Source organism: Homo sapiens, chromosome 6 (assembly GCF_000001405.40).
Source record: "Homo sapiens chromosome 6, GRCh38.p14 Primary Assembly".
NCBI lineage: Eukaryota > Metazoa > Chordata > Mammalia > Primates > Hominidae > Homo > Homo sapiens.
The window spans coordinates 33,436,947-33,458,647 of NC_000006.12; the positions used below are offsets into that span (position 1 = coordinate 33,436,947).

General features: G+C 53.5%; 2 protein-coding genes, 1 long non-coding RNA gene and 1 other non-coding gene across 24 annotated transcripts in view, besides 1 other annotated feature; 3 read left to right on the forward strand and 1 right to left on the reverse strand.

Annotated features, from left to right (window-relative positions):
* The window catches only part of SYNGAP1 (synaptic Ras GTPase activating protein 1), a 35,523-nt gene extending 18,780 nt beyond the window's left edge, over positions 1-16,743 (forward strand). For 4 of the 20 annotated variants that reach the window (XM_047419455.1, XM_047419450.1, XM_047419456.1 and 1 more), the window contains 12 exons: positions 722-1,345; positions 1,473-1,617; positions 1,829-1,973; positions 3,783-4,019; positions 4,227-4,428; positions 4,635-4,813; positions 5,507-5,548; positions 5,943-7,014; positions 7,498-7,671; positions 9,629-9,840; positions 10,897-10,990; positions 14,814-16,743. In XM_047419455.1, coding sequence (XP_047275411.1) covers positions 722-1,345; positions 1,473-1,617; positions 1,829-1,973; positions 3,783-4,019; positions 4,227-4,428; positions 4,635-4,813; positions 5,507-5,548; positions 5,943-7,014; positions 7,498-7,671; positions 9,629-9,840; positions 10,897-10,990; positions 14,814-14,960 — 3,273 coding nt within the window. In that variant the 3' untranslated portion in view covers positions 14,961-16,743. Of the gene's footprint in view, positions 1-721; positions 1,346-1,472; positions 1,618-1,828; positions 1,974-3,782; positions 4,020-4,226; positions 4,429-4,634; positions 4,814-5,506; positions 5,549-5,942; positions 7,015-7,497; positions 7,672-9,628; positions 9,841-10,883; positions 10,991-11,842; positions 14,648-14,813 lie in introns of those variants that run through there. The other 16 variants (XM_047419453.1, XM_047419466.1, XR_007059351.1 and 13 more) reach the window with 15 other exon arrangements.
* SYNGAP1-AS1 (SYNGAP1 antisense RNA 1) lies at positions 417-17,459 on the reverse strand. Its single transcript, NR_174954.1, has 3 exons — positions 17,324-17,459; positions 9,660-9,852; positions 417-535 (listed from the first exon to the last, which is right to left on the reverse strand). It is a non-coding gene; the product is annotated as an SYNGAP1 antisense RNA 1 (long non-coding RNA).
* Positions 907-1,084: a silencer, noted in NCBI's record as "fragment chr6:33405630-33405807 (GRCh37/hg19 assembly coordinates)". NCBI's record gives its function as "represses an EF-1alpha promoter that drives an FKBP-Casp9 reporter gene in an ReSE screen in HepG2 liver carcinoma cells {active_cell/tissue: HepG2}" and the evidence as "EXISTENCE:reporter gene assay evidence [ECO:0000049][PMID:32094911]".
* MIR5004 (microRNA 5004) lies at positions 1,385-1,491 on the forward strand. The gene has a single exon (NR_049800.1). It is a non-coding gene; the product is annotated as a microRNA 5004 (primary transcript).
* On the forward strand, positions 16,137-20,598 carry ZBTB9 (zinc finger and BTB domain containing 9). Of its 2 annotated transcripts, none has more exons than XM_047418350.1 (2): positions 16,137-17,285; positions 18,084-20,598. In XM_047418350.1, exon 2 carries the CDS (start codon positions 18,155-18,157, stop codon positions 19,574-19,576), a length of 1,422 nt encoding a protein of 473 aa, XP_047274306.1. In that variant the 5' UTR covers positions 16,137-17,285; positions 18,084-18,154; the 3' UTR covers positions 19,577-20,598. The 2 variants fall into 2 exon arrangements, with proteins under 2 accessions (XP_047274306.1, NP_689948.1); NM_152735.4 differs by lacking the exon at positions 16,137-17,285 and adding an exon at positions 17,630-17,829.

Here is a 21,701-nt window from a genome sequence, read left to right on the forward strand (position 1 = left end):
TTCCTAGCTTCCGGAGGTTGCCAGCAGTCCTTGGCATTCCTGGGCTTATAACTGCATCCGTCTAATTTCTGCCTCCATCTTCATGTAGCTGGCTTCCTTCTGTGTGTCTCTGTATCCTGTATCTCTGTGTCTCCAAATCTCCCTCTCCATATAAAGACACCAGTTTTTATAAGGTGGGTTAAGGGTCCACTCTAATTCAGTATGGCCTCTTTTTTTTGAGATGGAATATCGCTCTTGTTTCCCAGGCTTGGAGTGCAATGGCATGAGCTCAGCTCACTGCAACCTCCGCCTTCCAGGTTCAAGTGATTCTCCTGCCTCAGCCTCCTGAGTAGCTGGGATTACAGGCACGTGCCACTATGCCCAGCTAATTTGTTTTTGTATTTTTATTAGAGACGGGGTTTCACTATGTTGGCCAGGCTGGCTCGAACTCCTGACCTCAGGCAATCCACCCACCTCGGCCTCCCAAAGTGCTGGGATTACAGGAATGAGATACCATGGCTGGCCTCTTCTTAGTTTGATTACATTTGCAGGGATCCTGTTTCCAAATAAGATCACATTCACAGGTTCAGGGTAGACATGAGTTTTGGTGGGATACTATTCAACCCAGTACACCGTCTCACCTTATGATTGCTGTCTGTATCCCACTTTCTTACTGTCTCTCCTCTTTTGGTGTCTCTCTGTCCCTTCCCCCTTTAACATCATGCCCACCCCACCATGCCAGGACAACAGCCGCCGGGTAGACAATGTGCTAAAGCTGTGGATCATAGAGGCCCGGGAGCTGCCCCCCAAGAAGCGGTACTACTGTGAGCTCTGCCTGGATGACATGCTGTATGCACGCACCACCTCCAAGCCCCGCTCTGCCTCTGGGGACACCGTCTTCTGGGGCGAGCACTTCGAGTTTAACAACCTGCCGGCTGTCCGTGCCCTGCGGCTGCATCTGTACCGTGACTCAGACAAAAAGCGCAAGAAGGACAAGGCAGGCTATGTCGGCCTGGTGACTGTGCCAGTGGCCACCCTGGCTGGGCGCCACTTCACAGAGCAGTGGTACCCTGTAACCCTGCCAACAGGCAGTGGGGGATCTGGGGGCATGGGTTCGGGAGGGGGAGGGGGCTCGGGGGGTGGCTCAGGGGGCAAGGGCAAAGGAGGTTGCCCGGCTGTGCGGCTGAAAGCACGTTACCAGACAATGAGCATCTTGCCCATGGAGCTATATAAAGAGTTTGCAGAGTATGTCACCAACCATTATCGGATGCTGTGTGCAGTCTTGGAGCCCGCCCTGAATGTCAAAGGCAAGGAGGAGGTTGCCAGTGCACTAGTTCACATCCTGCAGAGTACAGGCAAGGCCAAGGTGAGTGTTGTGCCCTCAGGGAAAGGTGACTTGGGAATGGGCACTTGCTTGGGGGTTAGTGAGGACAGGGCAAATTCACGAGATTGGGTTGTGCAGAGGCTGACACTTGGATTTTCCTGGGCCTCAGGACTTCCTTTCAGACATGGCCATGTCTGAGGTAGACCGGTTCATGGAACGGGAGCACCTCATATTCCGCGAGAACACGCTTGCCACTAAAGCCATAGAAGAGTATATGAGACTGATTGGTCAGAAATACCTCAAGGATGCCATTGGTATGGCCCACACTCAGGCCCTCTTCTTCCCAAACCTGCCAGATGTCCACCCCAGACCCCAAGTCCACCCTTCCACAGCTTGATACTTCCTAACCCAGAGTCCTAGGACTCCAGCCTCCAACACCTGATTCTGAAATTTCCCCAACCCTGGCCACCCCCTTCCCTGCCCTTGGAAAGTGTGACCACACCCTCTTGTGCCCCCACCCCCCAGGAGAATTCATCCGTGCTCTGTATGAATCTGAGGAAAACTGCGAGGTAGACCCTATCAAGTGCACAGCATCCAGTTTGGCAGAGCACCAGGCCAACCTGCGAATGTGCTGTGAGTTGGCCCTGTGCAAGGTGGTCAACTCCCACTGGTGAGACTGGGAACGCTGGGCTGGGGGGCCAGGGTCGGGGGAATTATGTGTTCATCTGTTCATCTATCTGTCCATCCTCAAAGAGGACTGAGCACCATTTATGGGCAAAGCATTGTTCTAGGCGCTATAGAGCAAACAGGTGAAAGAGGCCTGGTCCCTGCCCTCAGAGGGCCTCCACCAGAATGGGGACAAATTAGAAGAAAAAAAAAAAAAGCCACAGAGCCATAATGGTGTGTAAGTGCTGAGTAAGGGTCCCCCCAACCTCTGTGTGACATAAGGTCAGAGAGAAGGCAGAGCTTTGAGATAAGTGGGGAAGAGGTGCCCCCTTGGGTAGGCTTTGAAGACTGGTTTAGGTTCTGATATATGGACATAGTTGGCAAGAAAGACATTTCAGAAGAAGGCTGTGAGAAAGGCACATGTGTGATGGTGAAAAGGCCCAGGAGTTTTCAGGGGACATTAAAGTAGGTTAGTAGCAATTACATCAGGTTTAGTGGAGCATGTGCCTCATAATGGGGAGTGGCGGGAGAGATGTCTGGGCAGGAAGATTAGCTTTAGAAACTGGAAGGCCTCAAGGAGTCTGAGGTCATTGGTAGGCCTTGGGATGCCATTAAAGGTGTCAGAAATATTGTGATTTAGAAGATTAATCCATAGGCTGGGCACGGTGGCTCACACCTGTAATACCAGCACTTTGGGAGGCTGAGGCGGGCAGACCACCTGAGGTCAGGAGTTTGAGACCAGGCTGACCAACATGGAGAAACCCTGTCTCTACTAAAAATACAAAATTAGCCAGATGTGGTGGCACATGCCTGTAATCCCAGCTATTCGGGAGGCTAAGGCAGGAGAATCACTTGAATCTGGGAGGTGGAGGTTGTAGTGAGCCGAGATCACACGATTGCACTCTAGCCTGGGCAACAAGAGTGAAACTCCATCTCAAAAAAAAAAAATTAATCCATAAGTAGAGTGTATGTAGTAGAGTAGAGGGATGTATGTTGGGGGATGACTGGAATAGAGCCAGCTGGGGGCTCGGAGGCATGAAAGTCAGATCCTGAATCAGAACAGTGACAGAAGTTAGGAAGGAGCTACTGGAAGGACCCTCTCGGGAAAGGATCAGTAGGAATTGTCAGCTTATTGGAAAGGAGGGAGCATGTCTGTGGGGAGTCACGGATGACTCAAGAGGCCATGAGGCTGGTGGTTGGGAGACCGGTGGCCTCATTGACAACCAGGAAAGTCAGGAGGAGGAGCCAGTTGGAGGTGTGGGGGCGATGGTGAGCTCTGCTTTACACCAGCCGAGTTTAAGGTGTCAGTGGGACATTGAAGTGGAACTGGGAGGTGCGGGGAGTGAGCTCTGAGCCATTCCAGGGACTGGGGATCATGCCTGGGGCACCTCCATCCCCATTTCCCTGGAATCCAGAAGAGTTGGGGGGTCCGAGCTCCCTGTACCTCAAGTGACCCTCCATCTCTCTCCCATCTCTGTCTCTCCCTGGTGTCTGTTTTTCTTCTCCTCCTCTCCTTGTCTCTCTCCCACACCCCTCCATCTCTCTCCCACGTGTCTCTCCCCTCACCTTCTCTCCCCCTCCATTTCTCTCTCCCTAATCTGTCTGTTCCCTCTGCCATGGCCCCCTTCTTCAAGCAGCCTCCCATCTTGCTCCTGCGGTCCCTCCTTCCCTGTCTCTCTCACCCCTGTTTCCACACCCTCACCTCCTACCACCCCCCTCAGCATGTTCCCTGGAAGCTGAGGGTCTCTGGGGCTCAGTCCCGGTCTCTCTCTTTCTCTCTCTCTCTCTCTGTCTCCCCGACCCTTCCCCCCAGCGTGTTCCCGAGGGAGCTGAAGGAGGTGTTTGCTTCGTGGCGGCTGCGCTGCGCAGAGCGAGGCCGGGAGGACATCGCAGACAGGCTTATCAGCGCCTCACTCTTCCTGCGCTTCCTCTGCCCAGCGATTATGTCGCCCAGTCTCTTTGGGCTTATGCAGGAGTACCCAGATGAGCAGACCTCACGAACCCTCACCCTCATTGCCAAGGTCATCCAGAACCTGGCCAACTTTTCCAAGTGAGGGAAGCTTCAGGAGTGGGCAGGGCAGGGAGTGGCAGGGCAGGGAGTGGCAGGGCTGGGGGTCGGCAAGAAGGGTCTCCTGAGTCCCCAGAGATCCTGAGATGGGGAGGCTATGATACCTTGTGTGTGTGTGTATGTGTGTGTATGTGTGTGTGTGTGTGTGTGTGTGTGTATGTGACCTTTATCTTCTGCATTCTTGGCTAGGTTTACCTCAAAGGAGGACTTTCTGGGCTTCATGAATGAGTTTCTGGAGCTGGAATGGGGTTCCATGCAGCAGTTTTTGTATGAGATCTCCAATCTGGACACGCTAACCAACAGCAGTAGCTTTGAGGGTTACATCGACTTGGGCCGAGAGCTCTCCACACTGCATGCCCTACTCTGGGAGGTGCTGCCCCAGCTCAGCAAGGTCAGCAGATCCCCTCTTTGCCCTATCCCCAGATGGCTCCAGAGGTTCCTGGAGCCTGAGAAACTACCCTTTGAAGATTTTTTTTCTCCCCTTGTTTCTCGAGGTGTCACCACTACTATCCCAACTCAGGCCCCCTCCACCTGCACCCTCAGAGGCCCTCTTAGAGCTGGGCACTGAGCCCCCAGGTAACAGCCTCACCCTTCCAGGAAGCCCTCCTGAAGCTGGGTCCACTGCCCCGGCTCCTCAACGACATCAGCACAGCTCTGAGGAACCCCAACATCCAAAGGCAGCCAAGCCGCCAGAGTGAGCGGCCCCGGCCTCAGCCTGTGGTACTGCGGGGGCCATCGGCTGAGATGCAGGGCTACATGATGCGGGACCTCAACAGGTGAGCACCCTGGGACAGCCAGGCCTGTGCCCTAGGAGCCCTTCTCCTATTCTAGATACTCCTCACTGGGCCCCACATGCATCTCTCTAGGGCTTGAAAGAAGGGAGGAAAAAGCACCAAGTTCTCAGGGGAGACGATAAGGAGACAGGTACAGTCAGTGGTAGGCTGAGAGCCCTTTACAGCCTGAGGGAGTGAGAGATTTGGAGCTCTAGGAATAGGGCTGAGGCTCCACCAACTCACGGCTTAGTTGTAAGCCTAGAGCATCCCTGCTGCAAGCTCTGATTTGCTGTCCCTCTGCCTGCCCATGCTAGTCCCCAGGCTGAGGTTCAGCCAGCATGTCATGTCAGCCATGTGTCAAAATGTTCAAACATCTCAGTAATAGCTAGTGAATAAGCACTTCCCCCAGCCCCCGACCACAACCCCACAGACCTCCCCATGATCCAGCACTTAGAGCAGTGACAGCAGAAGCCTAGCAGGGCCTGCAGCCTGCTCCAGAGTCCCAGCCTCCATTCTGATAGGTGGTGCCCGTGCTTCATTTGCTGCTCATTATTTTGATGATGGCCCTGCTTTTTCCTCTGCCCGTGTCTTCCTCCATGACACCATACCCATCCCACCATTCCCGCCTCTCCTTTCATTTGTCCACATCTCTCTCCTTCTCTGTCTGTGCTCGCCCCTCTTTCCATCTCTCTCCAGCTCCATCGACCTTCAGTCCTTCATGGCTCGAGGCCTCAACAGGTGAGGGGCTCTCCCCTCCCCCGCCCTCCTCTCCTCTCCTGTCTGTTCCCTCTCCCACTCCACTGGCCTTCGCCCTACTCCTCTCCTCTCCTCCTCCATGGACCTCATCTCCTCCATATGTGCCCAGCCCTGCCCCCATCCCTTCTCTTGCTGCCCCCATCTCCCCTCCTCTAGGCCTCACCCCCTTCCCGGAGGGGCCCTGTCCTTTCCCTTTACTCACCTGTCCCCTCCCATCCTCCCTGCCTGCCCTCTTCAGGGCTGCCACCGCTAGCTCTCAGCCCTTCCCTCTGGGTCCCACTTTTCACCCCAAGGCCTGTGCCAGACCACAGCAAGGTTCAATTGCTAGGAGCCCTGACCTTACCTTCTGCTTGTGTGCCCCCTTCCCTTCTGACAGCTCTATGGACATGGCTCGCCTCCCCTCCCCAACCAAGGAAAAGCCACCCCCACCACCGCCTGGTGGTGGTAAAGACCTGTTCTATGTAAGCCGTCCACCCCTGGCCCGTTCCTCACCAGCATACTGCACGAGCAGCTCGGACATCACAGAGCCAGAGCAGAAGATGCTGAGTGTCAACAAGAGTGTGTCCATGCTGGACTTACAGGGTGATGGGCCTGGTGGCCGCCTCAACAGCAGCAGTGTTTCGAACCTGGCGGCCGTAGGGGACCTGCTGCACTCAAGCCAGGCCTCGCTGACAGCAGCCTTGGGGCTACGGCCTGCGCCTGCCGGACGCCTCTCCCAGGGGAGTGGCTCATCCATCACGGCGGCTGGCATGCGCCTCAGCCAGATGGGTGTCACCACAGACGGTGTCCCTGCCCAGCAACTGCGAATCCCCCTCTCCTTCCAGAACCCTCTCTTCCACATGGCTGCTGATGGGCCAGGTCCCCCAGGCGGCCATGGAGGGGGCGGTGGCCATGGCCCACCTTCCTCCCATCACCACCACCACCACCATCACCACCACCGAGGTGGAGAGCCCCCTGGGGACACCTTTGCCCCATTCCATGGCTATAGCAAGAGTGAGGACCTCTCTTCCGGGGTCCCCAAGCCCCCTGCTGCCTCCATCCTTCATAGCCACAGCTACAGTGATGAGTTTGGACCCTCTGGCACTGACTTCACCCGTCGGCAGCTTTCACTCCAGGACAACCTGCAGCACATGCTGTCCCCTCCCCAGATCACCATTGGTCCCCAGAGGCCAGCCCCCTCAGGGCCTGGAGGTGGGAGCGGTGGGGGCAGCGGTGGGGGTGGCGGGGGCCAGCCGCCTCCATTGCAGAGGGGCAAGTCTCAGCAGTTGACAGTCAGCGCAGCCCAGAAACCCCGGCCATCCAGCGGGAATCTATTGCAGTCCCCAGAGCCAAGTTATGGCCCCGCCCGTCCACGGCAACAGAGCCTCAGCAAGGAGGGCAGCATTGGGGGCAGCGGGGGCAGCGGTGGCGGAGGGGGTGGGGGGCTGAAGCCCTCCATCACCAAGCAGGTAGGTGAAGGCAGGAGGAAGGCGGGCTGGGTCACAACAGGGAGGGAAGAAGGAGATGGGGGGTGGGGTTGAAACAGAGTCTGTGGCCTGAAGTTACAATCTTCTTGCCTCCTTTTGGCCATTAAACAAATGTGTATAGAGGGCCTGCTATGTGCCATGTGCTATGCCAGGCACTAAGGATACGGCACTGAACCCTCTTAGCACTCTCATTCCAGAGGGGATTAATCCATAAGTAGAATGGGGGTGACTGGAATAGGGCCAGCTGGGGGCTTGGAGGCATGAAGATCAGATCCTGAATCAGAACAACAGGAGAAATTCTCTGGCATTCAACTCACATCTCTGGCATTCAGAGGTGATAAAGGCTACAGCAGGGCAATAGGACTGGGACTGTCGTCTCCTTTGGCTGTGCTGTTGCCCTCTAAATGTACCCTGCTTTTTCCCACCTTTTCTTTCTCTGTTCGCCCTCACTGTGCCTTGTCCCAGCATTCTCAGACACCATCCACATTGAACCCCACAATGCCAGCCTCTGAGCGGACAGTGGCCTGGGTCTCCAACATGCCTCACCTGTCGGCTGACATCGAGAGTGCCCACATCGAGCGGGAAGAGTACAAGCTCAAGGAGTACTCAAAATCGATGGATGAGAGCCGGCTGGATAGGGTACGATGGGCTCTACCAGCTCCAAGCCCCAGTGTTTCCTTTTACCCACAGGGGAGATCTCTAGTCACTTCCAAGGGAAACCTCCAGGGTCAGTTATGGTGGTAAGAAAAGGCAAAGACCTGATCACCTCTTGAGAAGCCTTCCGTCCATCTGGGGAGACCAGATACACACAGTTGTTAAAAGTCACTTTCAACTCTATTTTGTAGGTTATATATATCATAGACTATCTGGGGATCATCTATTTTAGGCTTACCTCCATGTTCTTCCCCAGGAGGAACATAAGCCCTGGCTCCTGTGACTGCTTAGGAAAGGAAATGTTACTTTACTGGCAGTAGGAGCTAATAAATTGGATGGGGATGGAGGGGGTTGCAGCTATATTACAAGTGATGTCTGGCCTACCCAGTCACTGTCCCATGGGCATAAGTGACAGTCAGTGGGCAGGGAATGCATGTGGTAAAGTAGTATGTATCAGTCATGTGTGAAAAGACCATCCAGACCCTCACTTGGTGGAGGCTGAGGGCAAAGGGCACCAAGAGCTCTGGGGCTAACACAGATAACTTAGCAGAAAGTTACTTGAGGAAGCTGTTGTTCCTAGGGCCTGAGGAAGAGGGCGGCTGCAGGATTAGGTCATATATAAAGAACATATGATCCTAACACGGGGAAGTGGTCTTTGAGCATAGGAAATGTTGGGACTGACTCAGATGGGCTTGACCAGCAAATTTAATGAGAATTAAACCCTAATATTAGCCCCAAGGCAGCCACCGTAGGAAGTTAATTCACATCTCTCCTCTGCATGTAGAAGGGTTGGTGATATATGTATGTATCCTCTTCAGAGAATGAGGAAATAGTCTTTTGAATCATTTTTTTTTCTGTGCTTCAGATGAGGAAACCTTGTTGAGAAAGGCTGTAGACTAGCACTATCCAATATAACTTTCTGCAGTGATGAAATGTTCTGTAATCTGTAGTGTTCACATGTGTCTAGTTGTGATTCAGGAACTGAATTTTTAGATCTATTTAATTTTAATTTTGTAATTTTTTTGAGACAGGGTCTTGCTCTGTCACCCAGGCTGGAGTGCAGTGGTGCAAACATGGCTCGAGGCAACCTCCGCCTCCTGGGCTCAAGACATCCTCCCACCTCAGCCCCCTGAGTAGCTAGGACTACAGGGTCGTGCTACCATGCCTGGCTAGTTTTTTTTCTTTTCTTTTTTTTTTTTTTTTTTTTTTGTAGAGACGGGGTTTTGCCATGTTGCCCAGGCTGGTCTAGAACTTGTGAGCTCAAGTGATCTACCTGCCTCAGCCTTCCAAAGTGCTGGGATTACAGGTGTTGAGCCACTGTGCCTGGCCTAAATTTTAAATAGCTACATGTGGGCTGGTGGCTACCATATTAGACAGCACAGCTGTAGACTCTAGAGCCAATAGGGCAGATAAAATGACTCTTCTGAGCTCTTCCAGCTCTGGAATTCCTAGATTCTCAGCCTAGAATTCACTTGTAGACCTCCTATCCTTGGCACCTTGACAGAGCCAAGGAGAGGGTCACATGGAGGACAGCACCTGCCTTTCCCCCGTCAATTGCCTTTTCTTCCTATGTCTCCAGCATGTGTTCTGGGGCCTGGCTTAGGGCTGAAGAGTCACCCTATTTTTAATTTCTGAGCACAGTTACTCAAGGTGTGTTTGTGAGTGTAGGTTTCTGTGTGGGTCTTCATGAGGGGCCATACATAGACCTCAGGGTGTGGGAGTCTGTGACCTTGCTCCATTTTGAGGGAACCTCAGCACCATGGCAGGGTCTTCTCAAAAGCAGGTGTGTGGATATGATCCACAGGCAGGGAAGGGGTTGGGGAAGGCAGCTGGATGTCCCTCAACATGCAGTGGCTGTGCTTGGCAGACAGGGATGGAGGCTGGGTGGTGGGCTTGGGGTGGGGCGCCCCTCATAGTGCGGGGTCGTGTGCCCGGCGGGCAGGTGAAGGAGTACGAGGAGGAGATTCACTCACTGAAAGAGCGGCTGCACATGTCCAACCGGAAGCTGGAAGAGTATGAGCGGAGGCTGCTGTCCCAGGAAGAACAAACCAGCAAAATCCTGATGCAGTATCAGGCCCGACTGGAGCAGAGTGAGAAGAGGCTAAGGCAGCAGCAGGCAGAGAAGGATTCCCAGATCAAGAGCATCATTGGCAGGTGAGGGGCGGCCTGGGGAGGGGGTTGTGAGGGAGAGCCTGAGGCTGGAGAGAGCAAGTGGGTGAGCTACTCCGCTGACTCCCATCCCCAAACTCAGGAGCCCACCAGGAGAGCCCACCACTCTCCTCCCCAGGAAGCCACCCACTCACTCATCACCAGATGGAGAGAAACCCCAACCTGCTTAGTGCATTAAATATCTCTTTACCAAACCCTGACCTCTCTTCTGATAGAGTAGCTTCGGAAGCCCTTGGAAAATGTACCTGTTCCTGTCCAACCATCACTGCATTTGCATTTACCCTAGGCCAGAGCTCCCCACTAGTTATTCTCAACTTAACCTGTGATGTTCACTCCAAACCTAAGCAGGGCTCCCTAGCCAGAGTAGGCCCTGCCCTTCCTGGGTGGACCCTCCCTCTCTAGCCTTGGAAAGGTGTTCTGTTAGAAAGGGTCTTTTAGCCTGTGTATGTTTTCAGCTGCTCCAGCAAGTCCTGGGCTCCAAAGAGGGTATCCTCAGCAAAGAGGTCAATTATCTTCAGAGTGGTGGGGTCGGGGTGGGGGGGACCCTGGGCGCACTCCAACCAGAGCCACCTCCATTTTGATCCATTCTAAATGTATTTTATGTAAGATTTAATTAGAAGAAAAGGGCTTCTTGAAATATTTTTTGAAAACCACTGCTCTAATTGATATCCTTTATGATAAATCACCTCGAGGATCTTCACAGTGAGGTGACATGGGGGATGCAGAAGCCAGGTCCTCAGCCATGGAAGGTCTGGGGAAGGGGCACTGCTGTCCTGATTGGGACGATGGAGGCCTGGAGGTGTCTGGATGGTAGAAGTCTTTGAGGCACAGAAAGCTGCCTTAGCAGGGAGGTGTAAGGGTTCCTGGGAGGAAGGTGGAGAGCATGATCCTGAGGAACAGGGAGTCTTGCATCACGGCAATGGAGGGACTCTGATTCTAAGGGATAAGGATGCCTGAGGTTTTTCCAGAGAGCTATGGGGTTCCATGGGCAGGCTCTGAGCCTGTGCCCGCCACTAACCCCACTGAAGCCCGTCCCTTCAGGCTGATGCTGGTGGAGGAGGAGCTGCGCCGGGACCACCCCGCCATGGCTGAGCCGCTGCCAGAACCCAAGAAGAGGCTGCTCGACGCTCAGGTGGAAATTACAATGTCATTTATCTTCTCCGTGTCCCATCCCCATCCATCCCACTGTCTTTCGTGCACTCACTACACCAGCCACCTAGCCCCATCACCATCTGTCTCTCATAGTCTGCTGTTTGTCCACTGGCTGCTCCTGGCAGCCCCCTAGTGACCCCATCTTCATCCCATCGTCTGTGCCTTTGTCACTCCTGGCAGCGTCAGCCCAACTCCTGTGCCTTCCCATCCAGTCTTCCCACTCCTCTCTGCATCTCAGGACCTTCTCTACCAGAACCTTGGTCTTTCTGCCCCTAGACCCCACCTAGTTCCAAGAACCCCTGCCCCTTCTTTGCTCACTCCTATTCAAGCCACGTTGTTCAGCTTCCTCTGCGCTCTTGGGCCAGAGGGCTAGAAGCTGCCGTTTTCTGGAATAGAGCACAGGGCAGTATGATCTGTAGTTTCTCCAGGCCCTGGCCGGTACCCTGAAAACTTGGGGACCCATCACCTCTGTTCTCTTGGCTCCCTAATTTTCCTGTCTCCTTGGCAGCTCCTGCATAGCTTCCTCTTCCTGACTCTTCAGATCTTGAAGGCCTTCCATCCTGTAACCTCCCTTTGCCCTCAGTATTTAAGTCCAGCCTCCCTCTGGCCTCCCTCCCACTCTGGCCCTCAGACCTTCCCAGCTGCCTGCTGCCCAGCCTCTCTTCTCACAAGCCAGCTTCTAGGACCTCCCTTCTGCACCCTTACCCCTTGCTTTCCCAAAATTCTGCTCATTTTCCTACCCATACTCCTCTTTGCTCTGACTGCTAGGCTCCCCCCGCCTGCCATCCCCCCACCAAGGCTCCTGACCCCATGACCCCACTCTCTCCCACTGCAGCTCCTCATCAGGTAATTCTCCTGGTTCCGCTTTGGCCACGGGCGGAGGACACAGGGGGAGGTGACTCCGGACCACTGCAGGTTGGTCGTGAAGCCCACTCCCTCCAACACCTCCGGAGCCTCTCCCCTCTCACTGCTGCCCTCCACACCCAGAGAACCTCCACAGACTCCAGCCCTCCGACACCTGCACAGATCCATCTCCCAAGACACCACCCAAAGAGAGCATTTGCTGCTGCTTCCCAGAACTGTCCAACAATACCTTAGCAACACCAAGAGTTGGGCCCTAGATGGGCCCAGCACATTCACAGGTCACACCCACTTCCCTGCAAAACCCACCCCCTCCCAGCCTCCTCCTGACTCTAAGCCCTCCTCTTCCTCTACCTCTCCAGTGTATGTCTGTCACCCCCCATTTCACCAGAGCGTCCTTAGGGGCTGGGGGTGGGTTTGTTAATGGGGTGGAGGCAATGATGGGTTGGAGGATCTTGGCTATAGGGGCTGTGCTGACTGCAGCAGGTAGGTTGGGTTTCCCTCTTCCTTCCCTAATCTTGGTTCTCTACCCTCCTTTCCACTCCTCACCTGATTCTCTCTCTTCCTCCTCCTTATATCTGTGAGGCAGAAGGCATCTGAAGCTCATATTAGCCCCCATTGGGTGGGAATTAGGAGTGGGTAGTTAACTCAGGGAGACTTGAGATACCCTGGAAAAAATGCTATTGAGATGTCCTGACATTAGGCAGGGTGGATGGAACAAGAAGGAGCAAGAAAGGAACCTCAGGCAGATGTTAGGACATGGACTTGATCATGTGGCCTGGGAGTTTAGAAATGGGGAGAGACATCCTCCTAGATCAGATCGTGGGCTCAGTAGGCATGTTGATTCCCAGGGAGAGGTGCCAGGAACAGCATGGTAAAGAATGTACTCTTCACAGCTCACATCCCCAGGTTGCTGATGCCACTCACTCCCCCTCTCCTGCCATCGAGTGGCCTTGCCGGACACATCACCCTACCTAAAAAGCCAGTAAATGAGAACCTGTCAGCTATAGCCATCATTTCTGAGATGCGATTTTCTTTGGGATTGAGCTGCAGTGGGCAGTGGCTCCTTACACTGTAATTTTAATTCTCTGCCTGCCCAGCCTCTCTGTCAAAGTAGCTGGTGATCTATAAAGATGCTAAAAGGCACCAGGGGACTTTGCCATTTAAAGGACTCCTGCAGTGAATTCTTTTGTAAAATGAATAATGGCACCCTAATTTATCCACTTTCTAAATTTGGGTCCATGGGGGTGTCCAGGGCATGCTTATGTGCTGTCACCAGCAGACAAACAGAGGGAATGGAATCTGGGGGTTCCTTCCCTGCTCTCCCGCCATACTCAGGATACCCTACCATAAGTGATTTCCTCTCACTGACTTGCAGAAAATGTGTGAGATACCCAGCAAGCTAAGAAGGCAGTTTTGCTGGGTATCTCATACCCAAGGCTGGGGTTTGGGTGATCTGAGAGGTTAGCTCCTTGATCCTAGGATGGAAGGGAGAGCTTATATAGAAGCTTTTACTTGGAAGGTTTTGTATCCTAAGGTCAGACATAGCTATATTACCAAGCCTAAATGCCATGTGGCCCAGGAAATAATTTGGACATTTGTTCTAAACCACTTGTGGTAGGTATTGGTCTCTCTGCAACTCAGCCATTAATTAGAAATTAGTTTTGAGCCTGAATTTTAAAAAGCCAAGTGTTGCCCCCAGCCCACACACACACACACGGACATGTACAGTACAAACCCCAGATAATTACAACAGCCAAAGAGAGAAGGAAGTGAATTTCCCAACCAGAAGCGTAGGGAAATTCAGATGGCTTTCTTTTCTCCCAGCAGAGGAACAGAAGGCGGAGCTAAGGGCAGGAACCAGGAGTTGGTCAAGGAGCTATAGGAGGTGATGAGAGTAGAACCAGGGGTAGGAGCTGGTCTGGTACCCCTCACCCTCTAATTGGGAGCCCAGGGAGAAGGACTGAAAAGAAGATGGGAGTGGAAAAGAATAAAGCCAGTTTCTGCTTCCCAGGGATGCAGAGATTGGGGCATGCTGTGTCTGCAGAAGCTCCTAGTCATTTCCGCCATAATTGTGAGAGAGAGGGGCAGCCCTCCCACAAGATTTTTCCCTTCCCATATCACTTCCCTGAATCCCCTTCCTTTCCCCCCAGTACAGTTAAACCTCTCTCTAATTTGGAATGTTATATTTGAGAAGATGGCCACTGTGAATAAGTGACAAACGGAATGACAGTGTCTATTTAATGAAATGCATGTCTTCAAAATATATACAGAACTCGATGAACAAGGCTTTTTCCACTCCTCAGGGAGCATGCATTAATGAATAGATAGGATTCAAAAGTCTGTTTTCTGGTATGGGTTAAATATCCCCTCCTACAGACATATTTCCACCACTAATTTGCTTAGTACACCTTTTCTTCACAGATAAAGGAAAATGCAAGCTCAGTTTTTCTTCAGATTATGAAGAAATTCCAAATCCACAGGGGTTTGGATTAATGAGGTTTTGCTGTACTGCCTCCCCTTATTCCTCAACATGAAGTTCCCACCTCGGATTGGGGATGGGTGGGAGGGGGTTTCAAGAGGAGGAGGGTGGGATGGGCAAGGAATATACACAGGTGAAGCCAGAGAAGGGTTAGGTTGGGGGTGCGGTGGGAACTTGCTGTTTTGATCTGGTTTCCTGGTGTGACACTCTGGGTTAAAGGCTTGAAGGCCCCTGTTAGGAGTCTAGGGGTGAGATTCTCTTCTCTCTGATCCCAGAGGACGTTAACTTCTACTGCAGGTGAGAAACAAAATAGGAGGATGGTGGGGACTGTCCTGGGAGGAGGGGGTGGTCCATGGCTTGTGGTGTGGGCTGGCTATAGGGGAGGCCACTGCTAGGGGACTGGCATCCAGGCCCCCTTGAAGCGTCTCAATAAGTCCGCGCTCTCCTTTTTGGTGTCTTGCAGGAGAGGCAGCTTCCCCCCTTGGGTCCAACAAACCCGCGTGTGACGCTGGCCCCACCGTGGAATGGCCTGGCCCCCCCAGCCCCACCACCCCCACCCCGGCTGCAGATTACGGAGAACGGCGAGTTCCGAAACACCGCAGACCACTAGCCCACCCAGCATCAGAGACCTTCTCTTCCTTTCCTGTGCACCCCACCCTGTAACAGCACCAACCACCAGGATTGGACATCACCGAGGAACAGCGGGATTGCCTCCCCGAATGCCTCCCTGGGAGGCACACTGATTGCCCACCCCCACCACTGCACCATTTCCAGGAGGGAGAGTGGGGACCCTCAGCCGCCCCCTTTTCCTTCCCATTGGGGTGCTGCCCTCTCTTTGACCCCCAGGGACCCTTGCCCCAGGACACCGCCTACCCCGTACAGACCCCTTCACTCCGGGGTGCTATCCCCATCCTCTGCCTCATCGTTCCCCTGAGCACTGGGGGACAGACCCTCACCCCCACCCTGGGGGTGTGGCACCTCCAAACTTTCAACTTCAGGGTGATTTTTTTAGCAGTAACCAGAGCTGACAATCTAACTCCCCTCCACCGCCCCATTTTGGCCTCCCCTGCCCCCCTTGTTATGGGGAGGGGACCCCGGGTGAGGGGGCCCTATTACCCCTTGATTTCTCAGGAGCGTCTGGGGGGGCTCAGCACGCACAAACTCCTTCTCCTTCTACCACTCTTAAATTTACTCCCTCCCCACCCAGAACCCAGATGGGGTGGAGGGGGCCACCGGGGCAGGGAGGGGGCGGCAAGGGGGGAATGGGAGTTGTCTCCCCTTCTCCCCACACCTGATCTGCTCTCGGCTGGTCCCAGAGCGGGGTGAGGGGGCTTATGCCCCCCCCTCCCCCAGTGTGTTGGGTGGGGTGGAATTGAGGTTAGGGTGAGGGGTCAGGGTTTAGGAGGGTGTGTATGTTGGGAGGACAGGCTAGTTGATCTGTCCTACTCTGACACACAGTCCCCTCTGCCCCTTCCTTCTCTCTTCTTGGTCTCTACTCCCAGGGGGAGGGGGGAACTTACTCTAGGAAAAGCCATGTCTCTCTCCCCCAGGGTGGGGGGACCTGTGTTGGAGGAGGGGTGTTGGGGGGCCCCCTTCCATGACTCTGTCCCCTGGGGGAGGTAGGACAGGGCTGGGCTTCCCTCTCATCCTCCCCCTCCCAATCTCCTTCCACCTCCCTCCCTCCCGCCAGCTCCACGATTTTTCGGTGTTTCTCTGTACATAGTTTTCTGGCGGGATAGGGGAGGTAGGATGGATGGGGTTTGGGGTGGGTAGGCCATGGGAGGGGAGAAGCCCCTCCTTGGCACCCCCTCTTCCCTGACTGCTGTCCCCTACCCAGCCTTGCCCCCTTCATCCTTTTGCGTTTGGTATTGAGACTCTCCTAGACTCTACTCCTCTTTCTTTTGTATGGACAGTTCCCCTTCAGTCCCATCCCCCTACACATACACCCAGCCGGGGCCAAATTTATACTTATATAAAAGTTGTAAATATGTGAAATTTTATCCCTGTGCCCTTTCCCCACCTCAGGCCCTACCCCTGGACCCTCCCCAACCTTCCTTCTCTCTTCTTTGGCTGTTGTAATTATCTGGGGTTTGTACTGTACATATCCGGGGTGTGTGTGTGTGGGCTGGGGGCAACCCTTCTGTACAGAGCTTCCTGGCCCCCTCCCCCCCCGCCCCTCTGCTTCCCTCCCCACCCACCACCTCAAGGGTAGGGAGTTGCTCTTCCTACCTGTTTTATTTTGTTTTCTCGTTCTCCCTCCCCACCCCACTCCCAGCCTTATCTATCCCCCCTCACTGTCCCCTTTTCTCCACTCCCAGCCCCATTTCCTTTTTTTCTGGAGTGTGTGGTGAAACAGAAAAAAACATGTTTAATAAACGGAGATTGTTCTTTTATCGCTGTGCCGACTTTCTTAGGCAGGGCTCTCCAGACCTGTACGGTGGTAAGATCTGCTTTCTGAAAGGAAGCTGACAGCCTGAGAGGAAAACCGTATATCCCCACCTGATGCCACACTCTCCTCATAGAATGTCACTCTCCCCTCCCAATGAGATTTTTTATATTTTAGAGCAGGAGTTTTGCACCGGCCAAACTTCTCCAATCTAACTCTCCCCTCACCACTGTGTCACTTAGTCCGAGGCCAGGAACAGCGGCGTTATCTGATAAAAGAGTTCATGTATATATCCACATTTATCTCTTTTAAAAATTACCTAGAAATAAGGTTTCTTTAATTGCTGGTTAAAATGCTCCCGTGCAGAAAACAGGAAAGAACCTGCCTGGTTCCTTAGCAAATCTGAGTTCCAGTCCCAGGTCCACTACTATTAGCTGAGTGACGCTTCCAGCCCGTTTCCCCCGCCTGGAAACTGAGGACGGCAACCCCCACCCTCGCAGGGCCGGTGGGAAGACACAAAGTGATGTGGGCAAGTGCCAGGCCCACATGGTAAGTACCCAACTAATCTCGCCCCTCTCAGGACCTACCGGGGGCGGGTGCTACACTTAATCACCGGGAAACGCAGCTTTCCGGGGCGGCTGACGGCCCACCCCCTCCGACCGGGCTGTTCTCTCCCGGGCCCTGCCTCTCGGTCCTCTGCAGCGGGGAGGACTTCAGCAGCTCCCCGGGACGCCCGTTGCGAGGACACCCTGGGCCTGTGCCCTCCTACTAGCACCGCCCTCCTCGTCTGCAGTAGCCAATCAACACGAGGCTTGTAGGCTGCCGTTCCTCGATTGGCTACGGCTCTAGCTCCGCCCGCCGCACTTGGCGACGGTGTCCGGCGGGGAGGCGGCGGCTTCCGGTCTGGGACGGAGCTGTAGCGGCACTGTAACTGCGAGGGCAGCGCCGCGTGTGTAACGGCGGGGGCGTGTCGGCGGGAAGGACAATCGGGCCGGGACTCGCGGTGTCCGGGTGACCGCGGCTTCCCGGGAGCAGACCTCTGTGGGCACTGTGAGGCGGAACGGAGCGGCGGGGCAGGAGCTGTTCTGGGCAGGTGAAGGCAGGCTGGTGGCTGAAGGACCTCCTTCTTATCTTCCACAGGGGCTGGAAGTTAAAACCCCTGTTGGTGTTTAGTGGTGGTGGTTGTTGTTGTTGTTTGTTTTTGCTTTCTTGGTGTGCGGGACTGATTTGCAGAAACCGCCACTGACTTAAAAGTTTCCAGTTATTGCTCGTGGGGAGGGGGTTGTTTGAGAAGATGTGGCTCCCTTTATCCAGGGCTTCTGTGACCTCCATCTTTTTCCTCTGCAGCCTTCATCCCGCGTGGAGTCTACCCCCAAGCCCTTCTCCTCTTCCCAATTCTTGTCACCTTCGAGGAGGCCATGGAAACCCCAACACCTTTGCCGCCTGTACCCGCCTCCCCGACCTGCAACCCAGCCCCACGGACAATCCAGATCGAGTTCCCACAGCATAGCTCGTCTCTGCTGGAATCTCTGAACCGCCACAGGCTAGAGGGAAAGTTCTGTGATGTGTCCCTCCTGGTGCAGGGCCGGGAACTTAGGGCTCATAAAGCAGTGTTAGCTGCTGCCTCTCCTTACTTCCATGACAAGCTGCTTCTGGGGGATGCGCCTCGTCTCACTCTACCGAGTGTCATTGAAGCCGATGCCTTCGAGGGGCTGCTCCAGCTCATTTATTCAGGGCGTCTCCGCCTGCCACTGGATGCTCTTCCTGCTCATCTCCTTGTGGCCAGTGGCCTTCAAATGTGGCAGGTAGTAGATCAGTGCTCAGAAATTCTTAGAGAATTAGAAACTTCAGGTGGTGGAATTTCAGCCCGTGGAGGAAACTCCTACCATGCCCTTCTTTCCACTACATCCTCTACAGGAGGCTGGTGCATTCGCTCTTCGCCTTTCCAGACCCCAGTACAGTCCTCTGCTTCTACTGAAAGCCCTGCTTCCACTGAGAGCCCTGTGGGAGGGGAGGGAAGTGAACTGGGAGAAGTGCTGCAAATTCAGGTGGAAGAAGAAGAGGAGGAGGAGGAAGATGATGATGATGAGGACCAGGGGTCAGCCACACTCTCTCAGACTCCTCAGCCCCAGAGAGTATCAGGGGTTTTTCCCCGTCCTCATGGACCCCACCCACTGCCCATGACTGCTACTCCCCGAAAGCTTCCAGAGGGTGAGAGTGCACCACTTGAGCTTCCTGCCCCTCCTGCACTGCCCCCCAAAATCTTCTACATTAAGCAGGAACCCTTCGAGCCTAAGGAGGAGATATCAGGAAGCGGAACTCAGCCTGGAGGAGCAAAGGAGGAAACCAAAGTGTTTTCTGGAGGGGACACTGAAGGGAATGGGGAGCTAGGGTTCTTGTTGCCTTCAGGGCCAGGGCCAACATCTGGGGGAGGGGGTCCATCCTGGAAACCAGTGGATCTTCATGGGAATGAAATCCTGTCAGGGGGTGGAGGACCTGGGGGAGCAGGCCAGGCCGTGCATGGGCCTGTGAAGCTAGGGGGGACACCCCCTGCAGATGGAAAACGCTTTGGTTGCCTGTGTGGGAAGCGGTTTGCAGTGAAGCCAAAGCGTGACCGGCACATCATGCTGACCTTCAGCCTTCGGCCTTTTGGCTGTGGCATCTGCAACAAGCGCTTCAAGCTGAAGCACCATCTGACAGAGCACATGAAGACCCATGCTGGAGCCCTGCATGCCTGTCCCCACTGTGGCCGTCGGTTCCGAGTCCATGCCTGTTTTCTCCGCCACCGGGACCTATGCAAGGGCCAGGGCTGGGCCACTGCCCACTGGACTTACAAGTGACTGCTGAGGCTATACACTAGCTTCTAGAACAAGATAACCACTGCTGCTGATGGATACTTTTCCCTCACTGCCATGGCACACCAGTCATGGATCTTGTAATCATGCCAAGAGAATAGATACATTATGGACCTCTTGTTCTTAGATATGGGCCTCTCAGCCTGGCAGATGTGGAAACTCAAATTTCTCGTCCCACTCCAGGTTTTGGCTAGCCAACCCTGCAGGAAAGTGGTTTATAGGCCATTCATACTTAAGTTGATCACTTGCCCATGGTGGACATTTTTGTGGTGGTGATGTCCATTAAGGAAACCAGATTTTCAATTATTTAGTGAGAGAAGAGTTAGAGCAAAAGACAGTGGTAAATGTTTTATTCCGTCTCCATGAGGAATTGAAGGAGTTGGTCTCCACCTAGAGATACATTTGATTTACAGCTTAAGTAATTCAGAGGCTAAGCTCTAAGCTTTTTTCTCTCATTGCTGGAATGATTTAAGCAGAAGTCCTTTTGTGTACTTTTAAAATTGTATCTTTCCAGGAGCCCCTCAGATTGTACCTTGCTTTCTCACCAATAGACACCTTCCCGACACTTTTTTAATGTTGTAGCTGAGCACTTTAACAAGTTGAGCATTCCATGTTTCATTCTTAGAACCTTCTTTAATAGAGGGTCTTCCCTCAACAGCCTGTGCCTCTGGTCTACCTTTGACCACCACTGATAACTAATATATTGGTCACAATGACTGGAATGTGACTAGTGATCTCAGGAGATGGCACTGTCCTAAAGTGCTGTCAGGGTGGCACCACTGCTCTCTGAACAACTTACCTTGGTCAGAGGGACTCAGGTTTGGGACAGCACAAGCTGAAGGCTGGAGAGTAACTTGCATAGTAGGACCATACCTCTTCCTTTCCCATCCCACCCACATATGATAGACAGCCCCTCTGTTGAGATATGGAGGGGACAGATACTGGAATCGGGGGTGGGACTTGCAGTTACTTAAAATTTTTTAATAAACTGTGCCCTGAAACCTAAACTGACAGTGGACTGGATTGAGTAATTTGTGTGGGAGAGAATGTGAGAATGGAGCTGCAGAGCCTTGGGTGTGTTCCTTAGGTGGCTAGGTTATGTTGATGGGGAAGGAATGGGATGGTATCACACCCATTCCTTGGATGGTGCCAAGAACACTCTTCTGGACTTAGGCCCTGACCTGCTACTTAATAACCTTCAGTAGGTTGCCTTACTGTTTTGTTTTGTTTTGTTTTTTTGAGATAGAGTGTCACTCTGTTGCCCAGGCTGGAGTGCAGTGGCACAATCGCATGCTCACTGCAACCTCTGCCTCCCGGGTCCAAGTGATTCTCCTGCCTCAGCCTCCTGAGTAGCTGGGGTTATCAGGCATCCGCCACCATGCCTGGCTAAGTTTTTTGTATTTTTAGTAGAGACGGGGTTTCACCGTGTTAGCCAGGATGGTCTGGATCTCCTGACCTCATGATCCGCCTGCCTCAGCCTTCCAAAGTGCTGGGATTACAGGCATGAGCCACTGCACCTGGCCTGCCTTACGTTTTAAAATCTGAACTAGTACTTTTTTTGGTAGAGTGGTGTGGAACACCTAACTGGTTCTGTTTTCCTTTTTAAAAGAGGTTGGTTCACTTATCTTTTTATTATTATTTATTTATTTTTTGAGACGGAGTCTTGCTCTGTCGCCTAGGCTGGTGTACAGTGACGTGATCTTGGCTCACTGCAACCTTCACCTCCTGGGTTCAAGCGATTCTCCTGCCTAAGCCTCCCAAGTAGCTGGGACTACAGGTGTGTGCCACCACGCCTGGCTAATTTTGTATTTTTAGGAGAGATGGGGTTTTAGCATGTTGGCCAGTCTGGTCTTGAACTCCTGACCTCAGGTGATCCACCCACCTGGGCCTCCCAAAGTGCTGGGATTACAGGCCTGAGCCACTGCACCCAGTCTATTATTATTTTAGAGACAAGGTCTCACTATGTTGCCCAGGCTGGTCTCGAACTCCCAAGCTCAAGTGATACTTCTGCCTCAGCCGCCCAAAGTGCTGGGATTCCAGGCATGAGCCACCGCACCTGGCTGGTTCACATGATCTTTATAATATTCCCCAACTTCCTGTGTTCTCTGTG

Bases quoted from the DNA above. Each gene is read 5' to 3' on its own strand.
- ZBTB9 (XM_047418350.1), top strand. From the start codon at position 18,155: ATGGAAACCCCAACACCTTTGCCGCCTGTACCCGCCTCCCCGACCTGC.